We start from the raw sequence: 12,269 nt of genomic DNA on the forward strand, positions 1-12,269 counted from the left end.
TGTGCCGAGGAGTCTGAAGCTCCCATCTGCAGAGGGTGTCCCCCTGAGCATGGAGAGCATTCAGTGAGGTTTTCACTGATACTGATGCTGGGTTCTCCTTCTGCCAACCACAAGCTTTGAGATTTGGGGTCAATTATGTCTTCTTTATAATGGGGATAAAAACAATATATAACCACACAAGGCCCTGTAGGTGTGAATTGCTTGGAGCACATGTGTGATGCAGATTCCTACTAAGAGTGTCTATTTTCCTATAGACATGTACTACCTGGAGAAGATGCCTTGCACGAGAAGATTTCTCCTACTTTCCTCATCTTCTTACACTCAGTAATGATGGTAACACTGAAGAAAGATACGATCATAAGAATAACTACAATTGAGATGTGATTAACTCATTGCATTATTTATTTTGTCCTGGCTCCAGAGCAGTTTTTGAGATCAACTTTCTCAAACAGCACCATTTACATGCTCCTCCAACCTCATCAGTAACATTCATGACACTGTAAGGGCGTGCATGTGTATTGTGCTTACGTACTGACACAAACCCAGCCAACAGGTTACGGATCCATACTCCAAAATAGTGAGATGAATTTAATCAGCTCTTGTATTTAATTTTCCTTTGCCCGCTTAAGGGACTTTAGATTTGAACTGAGAAGGAGAAAGTTGGCTGGAATTCATCTATGGAGAACTGATATTCTTCAGAAGCACAATAAGATGGAATTAAGGACCGGCTTGTGTGAGGATGTAGCTGATGAAATAAGAAACAGTGTAGCCTTTGGCCGCTTCCCAGACTACTATGGGAATTTCCCAATTGCTTTGTCTGGGATTAGTTTTGACATCTCCAAATTTCCAAGCAAATCTCTCACAGGAGAAAAGAATAAATGCTGTTTATTGTTGAGGGGAAATTTAGCTCCTCTTTGAAGGTAATTATTCTTTTCAAAAGATAAGGATCTCCCCTCTCCTTTAAAATCACTGAAAACCCCTTGCAGGGTCTCCAGAAGTGTGTGGTTTACTGCATGGCAGACACCCACTGATGACTCATTTATTTCTCAATTAAGTCTTAAACATGAAGGGCAGATTCTTTCACTCCTAGAATCTGGGAGCTGGGGAGAGAAGCACTTCATTAGTTGAATGAAGAGATAATCTGTAGATAGAATTTGAGAGATTAGGAAAAGAAGCTGACTTCTGGGTAATAACACATTAATTTAATATGACCAGAACATGTTTAATACCCAAGGAGATATTTTCAGTAATATTTTAAAAACTAAGTTCTTCATTTGATTTATTCATCCGGTAATTCACCCTTGATGAAGGATTACGGTAGAACAGTATTGAGTTCTTGATTTCAAATAAAACTGGGTGAATGTGCAAAAGGTGTGCAGAAGGCAGGATTCATTACTGAAGCTTTGATCTTGTGTGGTATGATTCTGGTGCCAACAATACAGACTCAGACTGAAGGTAGAGCATGGATGTTGATATGGCACAGTGGTGACTTGGGAAGATGCACTATGGCAAGGAATAGACGTCCACGTAGTATTCTTGCAGCATTCTAGGCACTAGAGATATGTGGGAAATGGGCAGTGTGAGCATGTGCTGCCACTGATGGTGAGGGAGGGGTTCCTGAGGGTGAGGGGCTCTGTGTGAAGGCCGCACAGACTCTTCCATTGCACACAAAGAATTTCTCATCTCTTGAAGGGAATGGACAGAAAATGCTAAAGACTAAGTCTGTGACACAGTAGCTGACTTTCAAAAAAATGTAAACACCCAACCAAAGCAGGTCTGTTCTGCCAAGATCTGGACCTTGGTTGGGAAAGTCTGGGATGCTGCCTGTGGGCTAAATGCATCTTGGAGAATGCTCCCTATATTAATCCATTCTCACATTACTATAAAGAAATACCTCAAACTGGGTAATTTATAAAGAGGTTTAATTGACTTACCATTCCCCAGGCTGTACAGGAAGCCTGGTTGGGGAGGCCTCAGGAAACTTTCAATCATGGTGGGAAGGGAAGCAAGAGGAAGTTTCCATGGTTGGAGCAGGAGGAAGAGAGAGAGGAGGGAGGTGCTACACACTTTTAAACAACCAGATCTTGGGAGAACTCACTCTCTCACGAGAACAGCACCAAAGTGGAAGGCAATTAGATCATTCTCTCGAGAATTCACCCCCATTATCCAATCACCTCCCATTGGGTCCCACCTTTAACCTTGGGGATTACTATTTGACCTGAGATTTGGGCGGGGACACAGACCCAACTATCACTCCCACAGCTTTTGACTCCTCAGATGCCCTGAACTGCCAACGGGCAGAATCATCCCATGATTTCTGAGTATATGGCAGTGAGTCTACCTTACTTGGACACAGTGCAGAGGCCCCTCCCCCACAAGGTAACTGGGGCCCTCTGCAAGGCCTGAATGTTTATATTCTCCTGAAGTCCATAGGCTGAAATCCTAACCTTCAAAGTGGTGGTATTAGAAGGTGAGGTCTTTGAGTTGTGAGGGTGGAGGCCTCATGAATGAGATTAGTGCCAGTATAAAAGTGGTCCCAGGGAGCTCCCTCACCCTTTCCACCATGTGAGGACACAGTGGGAAGGTGCTGTATATGAACCAGGAAGTTGGTCCTCACCAGACGCCAAGTCAGCTGGGACCTTGATCTTAGACTTTCAGCCTCTAGAACTGTGAGCAATAAACATCTGTTGCTTATAAGCCACAGAGTTTATGGTATTTTTGTAACAGCAGCTCAAATGGACGAAGACATTCATTCCCTCAGAACTTGCCACTACTTTGCAGCCCTTTCAGTAGGCCCATGATGAGGGTTTAGTTGCAGCATAAGTCACTGGGAAATGTTTTGGGGAGATGTCATGGGTCAACGTGTGGCTCACTAAAAGATATGTGGAAGTCTAAACCTCAGTGCCTGTGAATGTGACCTTATTTGGTAATAGGTTCTTTGCAAATGCAATCAAGTTAGGATGAAGCCATTAGGCTGAGTCCCAAACCAATACAATTGGTCCCTTCATAAGAAGAAGAAAACATCGTGTGAAGACAGACGCACCAGGAGAAGACCAGGTGACAAAAGAGACAGAGGCTGCAGTGATACCCCTGCAAGCCAGTGAACAACAAGGAATTCACCCAGACTCCCTCAGGGAGTGTGGCCCTGCTGGCTTCCGTATTTCAGACTTCTGCCCTCCAGGACTATGAGAGACTAAATTTCTCTTGTTTTAAGCCACCCAGTTTGAGGAAATTTGTTATAGCACACACAGGATATTTCTACAGGAGGAAAGGGACTGAATTCCAAAGGATCTTCAAAATGTAGCCAGCCTGCACCAGCAGAAGCCAGGAGGATATACCTAGGATTGTATTTTGAAGGTGCTTGATTAAGGAAACTAGAACATAAAATTTACATGAAAGAGTATATTGGCTTGGGAGTGCTCTTCCTCTTTGTAGGATTTACCACCTTTTCAAGGATGCCAGGGAATTGTGCAGACTTGCTACTAGAATTGCTCAGACAAGCCTGGCCAAAGTGATTGCCCAGTCTTCAAACAGCTGCTATGCCAGCATTGCTGTGGTGGGCCACGGAGGGAGGGATTGAAAGGCTTAGAAAGTGTGCTTGCTGGAATGGATATAGCCTGGTAACCCACCACATTTTCAGGAAGGCTGAAGGACTCACACTTTCCCCAAGCATAGAAGGACACAAGCATCTATAAAGCTTTCAGGGGTGGCCCTCACCTGCAGGCCTGGGCTGAGAGGAGAAGAGGACAATAGGGCTCCTCTCACTGCTAGCAATGGAGTTGACTGGACCCTGAGACAATGAGGCAATGTGCTGGTGCCAAGGAATGGCACTTTTCTTAATGACTAGCCGGCTTTAAGCAGCATCCTAGGGGTCCTGACTCACACAGGGTAATTGAGATGGTTACGATGATACAGCAGGTCTACATGGGCTTCAGGCCAAGGCACTGACAGCTTAGAGCAGCAGAAGGTGTCAGTGTGGATGACCAGGAGACTGAGGACCCTCTCTCCAAAGACAGCTTGCTCCCTTGCCCAGTGTCCACACCTGAGCCCATTTCAGACCCAGAACCCACTGACTGAAGAGATGTTGAGTTCCCAGGAGTGAAGATCAATCTTATCACACCATGACAAGTAACATGGGATGATTCTCTCCTCTGTCTTTCCTGAAGAGACCTATGGACATTTACCCAGGAATCTGTGCCTGCAGGAAAGGGATATATATTGACAATGATTGGACAAGGTATCCGGAATTACATTGATACTCAAAGATAAAAGTTCATCACACTTTCCGTACACAGAAGAGTACATGTTGACACAGAATGGCTGGGCTCCCAGCTAAACCCCACCCTTAAGTCTGGAAGTGTGACCCTAAGAGAAAACAGCTGACCCCATTTTTCCACCCAAATGTTGCCTTTTGGCCTTCTACATCCCAGTCCTGTGCTCATAAAAAGACCTCAGCTGGCAGAGCAATGCAAGCAGCTTAGCGACAGAGATACAAGTGGCTTAGCGGTGAGCAGAGAAGCAGCAACTGAGCATCAGAGACTATGGATAGACACCGCTAACTTCAGACAGTGTGGCTTCAGGGAAAGATTACCTTCCCACACCATTCTCTTTCCAACTCCCATCCCCCTGAGTGCCATCACCCAATAAAATCCTCCTCATACATTGCCTTTCAATCTGTGTAACCTGATTCTTCCTGGATGCTGGACGAGAACCCAGGTGCCAAGAGGGCGGGGGCTTGGACACTGCTGCAGGGCCCACACAGAGCCTTCTCCCATCAGAGAGGGTGACTGGCTGGTCCCAGCGTCCGTTCCCTCCAGTTCCCGCGCTCGCTTGCTTGCACACTACCTCTCATGAGGAGTGGCCAGCAGCGGGCTGAGTGAAACGAGCCACTCCAGTTCCCACCCACAAAGCGGGTCAGGGGAACTACCCATCTCATCCTGAAGTTAGCCAATAAACAGAGCCACATCCAAGGCCTGACTTACAGGCAAGCTATTGGGTCAATGGACCCATTTGGTACTCGTTTCCCCAGTGATCAAATCTATAATTGGAATGCGCAACCCTGGCAATTGGTTCAACCCTCAAAACAGGCCCTTGGTTTGTGTAATAAAAGCTATTGTAATAAGGAAGGCAAGTGGAAGTCACCCCTCATCAACCCTGATCAAAGTAAGAAATCAAAAGCAACATTGCAACCCAGAATGCATGATGAAAATTGGTGCCATCACAAACGGCTAAAAAGAGATGGGTTGGTGGCTCCCCTCATATATCCATTAATTGACCAGTTTGGCTCTGCAGAAAATGGATCTGGAGAATGTCACAGACAACCGCAAGCTCATCCATGTGGTCAACCTGATTGCAGCCACTCTATCAGATGGAGCATGTTTCTTAGAGCAGGAACACATGGTCTCGGGTACATTGTATGTAATCATTGATTCGGCAAACATTTTTTTTCTTCCATCTCAGTCAGAAAAATAGAATGAGAAATGATTTGTTTCCACATGGAATTGACAACAATAGGCATTTACATTTTTGCCCCAGGACTGTAATCCCTATAGCATCTAGCATAATAGTCCAAAGAATCTTATTTGTCTTGACATTGACCTATTACATTAATGTGATTATATCGGTCAGGCCAGGTGAGTAAGAGGTGGCTAGTGTGCCTAAAGCCTTGGTAGAAGACATGCTCTCCTGAGGCTGGTAGTAAACCTTGCAGAAATTCAGAGACTTGCCACATCCATAGACATGTGGATACTGATCATCAGGAGCATGCTAAGAAAAGTCACCCTCCCATGAAAAACAAACACAATGCCTGGAAGGCCTGTTCGGGTCTATAGGGAGGATATTCCACACCTCAGGAACCTTCTTTATTCCATAACCTGAGTGACTCAAAAAGCCCTTCCATTTCGGTCACAGGATCTGACAGCCTCGGTGTTGATGGATTTATCAGGGAAGGGAAAATGCACTTTATGAAGGGTGGGCTGTGCAGCATGCCTGAGTAAACTCACAGCACGGGAGGACCCTGGGGGGCTGAAGCAAGACCATGGCACTCACAGCAGAACATGGTCTGCCTCTTTCAAAGCAACCGGCATGCTCCTGGACTCTCACAGGGACCGAATCCTGGGCCTGTGAGGTTGGGTGACCACGCATCCAGGCTTGCCCATCATGAGCTGGATCGTGTCAGGCCCACTGAGGGCCCAGCTCAGACAGGACCAGTAAAGCTCTATCCTAAGATGGAAGTGGTAAATCTGGGCTGGAACATGAGCAGGACCGAGGGCCTGAGCAGATCTTCTGGACTGTGTTGGCCTCAGTGCTGTTGCAGCAGGGCCCCTCCCTTGGTTCCCATCCATGACTCCATGGGAGATCTTCCAGCCAGTTGAAGAAAGAGGGAGAAACCTAACCTATGGATGTGTTTGTGAGTCCAGGGCAAAAACAGACAGCAATCGCCCTCCATGCTCATTTGGGAGTGGCTTTGAATAAGAGTACCAAGGGAAGTTTATCTCAATAAGAAGTGTGTCAACAGCAAACCCAGTCACCTCTTTGTGGAAAGAGAAGTCATTCCAAAGAATACATATGGAGCCATAGGAAGTGGCCAATGCCCTAGCCAACTAGCCAGAACCTGGAAAGAAAAGGTTGGAAGATCAGGGAAGACCTATGGCAGAGGCATGAGCATGGCTACATGGGAGGAATCCCATAGAGTTTGAAGGGTAGAGAGGTTGAAGATCTTTATAGTATACATTAATTTCCATGCAAAAACATTCCCTGCAGAAGAGATACTAAAACAGTAGAAAGATTGGCCTGCTCAGCAGCAACAGTTCCCCTCTGGCAACACCTATCCTTATGCTGACATGACAAACGTATGAGAAACTGGCCGTGGTGGCACAGATGGAATTGACATTTTTGCCCAGCAGCCGGGACCCCACTGGCTGAAGCTAAGGAGGCTGAGCTGGCCACTACTGCCAGTGATTTCAAACTGCCAGTCCTGGGGACCAACACGGAGTTCCTGGTAAGGCAGCAATCCTGGAGGAAACAACATCCCACAAGTTGTCTCCATTGGGCCCCTTCTCGTCTAATGATCCAGCAGTGCGTTCTCACAGAAATAGACACTCTTCTGAATTTGCTCCCACAAACTCAAGCCAGCCCCCCTGTCCTGAACTTACAGAGGGTTTAACCCACTGGCTTGGGATTCCACCTAATAAGGCACCAACTCAGGGTCATTCCTCAGCATAAGAGTAGCAGGGGTGGCCCACAATTATGGGATTCATGATTATGTCATATGCTGTCATCAGCCTAGTAGTAATACCCTGGGAGGATGGGGTGTCATGCTCCAGAGCACAGTGCCTACATTGAACCAAATTTCCTTACAGGCCATGACTGCACCGATGGAAGACTGCACAGGTCTGGCATTGAGGAGTGCCCATCCTCTCTAAGCATCCGTCACCATGACTCTTCCGGACAACTCTGGGCTTTACAAAGTTAAAGATTCTTGTCCTCACAAAGGGTGCACTTTTGCCGAGGGACAAAGCAAGAGTCCCAGTGAATTATAAGCTTCGTGGCTTTGAGCTTCTTCACTGATGGGCCAGCAGGGAACAAGAGGTGTCAACCTCCTGGTACAGGTGGCTTTCAGCAGAGGGAGGATCAGCAGCCACTGCACAATGAGGAAGGGCTGCTCTGAAATGTACAGAGAGAAACAAGTCTGGGCAGTGCAAGGGCTGGGTTGTGGTAGACCCAGAGGTTTGCTGATTCCCCAGACGTCCTTGCAGAGGTGCCTTGCTCCCCAGTCATGCTGTGGGCTCCCTGAGCAAAGCCTTCAGTGAGAGACCAGGTTCTTCCCCAGGCAGTTGTGCCCAAGCAGTGCAGGGTTTGGTCCCATGTCAGCCTTTGTAATGAGAAATGCATCCCCAAAGCTTCCCTCTGAGGCAGCTGAAGTTTTCTGGGGTCTGCATCACTGACTGACTTCTCCCTTTACCCACCCCTGCTCCCTCCTCTCCTTCTCCCCTGGTGTTGATTCCTCATAAATACCTTGAAGTCCATCTCCTCCCGTTTCCAGATGAGCAACCTGTCTCCACAACATCCTGTCTAGCTTCTCTCAGACAGCAGGACCCATGTGGAAATCACCTCCCCAGAAAGCCTTCCCTGCCCTTCCACCTCCACCACCAGGCTGGGTGGCCCAGTGCCCCTTCCGGCCCATTCCTTCTACATGCTGTTCTTCCTCCACCCACTTTCCACATTCAATTGTGCCTTCTCTATTCTCACCCACCCACTGCCTGGAAGTTGCTTGGGACAGACAGCAGGTCTCAGCGCTCCAACCCTAGGCATAGATCCAAGTGAAGAGTGCATAAGTGTGGGCAAGTAAATGAATCCCATAGGTGCGTCGCATGAAAACAGTCTCCAAAATACGAAGCAATGTGCATACTAATAAAAGAAGCCAGAAGGTGTTTTCTACATAATTCACAAAGCAACCTGCAGTCGTGCCCTACCTCTGCATTTTACCTGTGATGGCAACCAACTTCTGAGTGCCAGCCACGTGTGCCTGAGTTCTTGGTGCTTTACCTCCACAGTAGAAGAAACCTAGGAGGCAGATACTATTGGAGATCCACATTTTATGGGTGAGAAAAGGAAGGCACAGCGCGGACACTCCCCAGAATTCACTCTAGCAGAGACCTGGGGCCTGCCCCCAGGCTGTCTGGCTGCTAGGTGTGCTCACTGCCTGGGCTGGGCTACTGCACACAGTTAGAGGGCTGCAGCTTTTCACAAGTGTCTTAGATGCAGTGGAAGTATTTTCTGACTCCATCTCATGGGAGCCCACACTTGCAGTTCACATCCTGACACTCAATGTGCTATTTAGGGAGAATTTAGACACACTATTTGAATTTTAGCTTCTGGAAATTACTGACAGTAATTCTCACAGGACTTGGTGAGGTTTAAAGACGTTGTGTCTGTTATACCTTGCATAGTCTATTGTTCATGTCACATGATTGTAAATTAAGACATAGTCCATTGTTTAAAATGTAGTGTTTAAAATATAGTACAAAATTTCTAAATGCACAACCCTGTACCAAGACTGTATTGTCCTCCACATGAAGCAATGCAAGTGGAAACTGAAGCTTTCAAGCTCATTATTTATCTTCTGGCTTTTTAAATTAAAATGCTGCATTGAACTACAATGTCTTTTCCTTTTATTCTATTCTGTCAAAGCTATTTGTGTGTGAAAATTTATTTTTGGCTTCTCTGTCTCATATGGTCCTCACCCGACCTTTCTAAGGCATCTCAGCTAGGGTGGAAATTCCAAAGTGATCAGGAAAGGCCAGACACCTGGGGGAGGCTGAGCCAGGAGGGCAGACCCCTGACACGCCGGCTGGAGTCTATTTCTGCTGAAACCCAACTGAAAGACGCCACTGTTTTCAGTGGACATGAGGAGGTCCGGCGGGGAAAGAGAGGAAGCCTGGCTTCCTGATGAGTGAGGAGTAAAGCATGTTCTTTCCTGAGCACACATCATCACCCAGGCTAAAGCCATAGAGGCGTGGGGTCAGTGCAGGCTTCAGAGGATAAACACGGAGCATTTTGCTGCATATCCAGGACTGAACATCCACTTCTGGGCCTGTTTCCTAAGATGTCAAAATATCTATAATTGCCAAGTCAAAACACGTCCAACAGGAGAAGCCGTCGAGCTGGAGAATCCTTTCCGTCACTATTTCCTGGAACACAAAGCCCTGTTCTATGGCCCTTTGCCCAGGGTGCCTCTTAAATGCCACCAGCACCTTTTCCCATGTTGGTATTCTCCATAAAAAAATTTAACTAGAAGGAACAGAGATTGAATGACATGATTGTGGATAGTTTGATTAAAAACTGTTGCCACAAATAGAATTTACGAAGGAGAGAGGCCAATTGCTATCTATGCCCCCAAACCAGAGTCTGTGTTTACCTTCCAATGAGGGAGCGCAGGTTAAAGTCAACAGACAGAAGAATATTCTCTAAGTGTCTGCTCCATGCCTTGGGGGAACAGGCCCCTGACCACCCCTTCCTAAAATGAGATAAGGACCTAACTTAAAGTAGGTCTTGTTTATCAGCCCCTTGCTCTGACAAGTCGATTTCAGATTTCAAGTTTAGACAGCACGTTTTCTAAAGGAATTTGATCCCTTCTGATTTTATTGCAAACCAGGGAGATGTGGTCACAAAAGGCCTCTTTCACAGACAGGAAGAGTTTTCACCTGGAAAAATAAACTGACAAAGACAACATTTACATATTGCTGATGATATAGTGCCCTTGGAGGAAACCCTACACAGCCTTTTAGCTAATGGTGCATTTTAAAACATGGAAATGGCAGGACATATCATAACACATGATCTGTCTGTTTCCTGTCCCGATTTTAGTGAGTTTCCCACCCGGTGGTGTCCGTGGGACTACCTCGAACCAACATCTATGTTAGAGAACAAGGCTCATCACTCTAATGGCAGATCTTTAAACACTCAGCTCTGTTCACTGCTTCAAAAAGCTGTACAATGATTTTTGCTACTGTCAAACTTGAGAAAAAATAACACAAGGAGAAAACAGACATAGTATAAGCTTTTTATTTATAGAGAATTCACCCTGAACTGCTCATCAGGGAAACAAAATATATGCTTGATAATTCTATAAGAGATGAACTCTCACGACAACTCTTGTCTTACACATTTGTTTGCAAACCTGGTCGGTTTTATAGGCACTTAGCTACTCAAACCAACCAGACTGGGGCAGATCTGGCTTGCGTTTGGGAGTTGGGGTTGGAATCGAAATATCGTAGGTGTGAGAAGAGGCGATTATTATTAAAGATAAATGGAAGAGGAGAGTTTCTGTTCAGCAGCTTCTCAACCATTCCTCTAAATTCTAACCCCTTTGGCATGTTCTAGATTGATAGAGAGAACTTCTGTGCTGCAGCCACGCCACGACACCTCTGGAGCCAACCTGAACTCTCTGGAAAGTTTCTGTCAGATTTCATAATTTCACCAGGATTTTATAATTTCAAGATTTCACCAAAGGATGGGTGACTTGAGCTGTCGCAGAAGGCAGAGACCACATCCTGGAGCTCTTCAGAGCTCCCCACTGCCCCACAGGAGGGTGCAGCAGGACGTCCATGGTGAAGCCACTAACGACATTGATATTCATCACTTTTTACATTAAGAGCAATAATTTCCAGGCCTCATTAATACAAACTATCATGTGCCCTTTGGAAAAGTGTGCCTAGACTTAACGGATCCCTGTTGTAAAATGCTTGGATTTGTTGATACAATTTGAAGGGGAAAAGTGGGGAAACTACTCTGCAGCTCTAGTGGCCCAGCACTGACCCCACGGAGCCTCGTGCCATTCTGTTCTCTGGCATTTTAAGTCAATGTGCTGTGTCATCCTGCAGACTGGCCCAGCATCTGCCAATACAGGTCCCCATGGGAAGCCTTGGAAGCTTTCGAAGTTTACATCAAAAGCATGGGTTAAACTCTGCAGTACATCTTTCCAAAGTGGCAACAAAAGTTCCTTTTTATCCCTTGATCAGTGGAGCTCACCTGTAGGAAATGTTACACCTTTATATTAAACCGATGAATTGTCTCTTCTATATAAACTAGAGACATTCTTGACAGGCTTAAAGTCATTAACACCTCCCTGGAATGCCGGGTAGAGCCCGGAGCACTCTGCCTCCCTTGCCTCTGCATGCTCAGAAACCCGCGGCTCCTGAAACCCTCAAGCACATTTTCCTCTTGATACTTATATCGCTGATTTATTGAAATGAGCAAAAGCTTGTATGTTGGCAGGATTGTCCCTGACACAGATGTGTACAGTAAAACACATTTGATGTTTTCAAATAAAGACCTTGCCTTAAATTAGCAAACTATTGGATTACTCTGACAGGTTGGCAAAATAAATCGTCAGTCAACGCTTGTCACAACCTATCTGGAGGCACCTTGCTGGGGTCCGGCCAAGATGTTCAGCAGGAGTGTTGGGAAGGCAGGGGTGCACCTGAAATGTGAGAACTCCACACTGCACCTTAGTTGCTTTTCTTTAAAGATACCGTGGAAACCAAAACTTGCTTTATTTTAAAGAACCTGTTGAAAACAGGCATTTTATTTTAAATCTACCATCAGCCAATAAAGAGTGGTTTGTTCTCCCTCCTTTCCTCCCTCTGCCCACCCTGTCTTCCTTCCTTCTCCCTTTTTAAAGATATCTAAACCTTGAATACTTTCCAAAGAACAATGCCCTACCATTGTGGATATAATCATCACCTTATTTTGCCTAACAAACACAT

The sequence above is a fragment of the Homo sapiens genome, chromosome 5, assembly GCF_000001405.40.
Source record: "Homo sapiens chromosome 5, GRCh38.p14 Primary Assembly".
Taxonomy (NCBI): domain Eukaryota; kingdom Metazoa; phylum Chordata; class Mammalia; order Primates; family Hominidae; genus Homo; species Homo sapiens.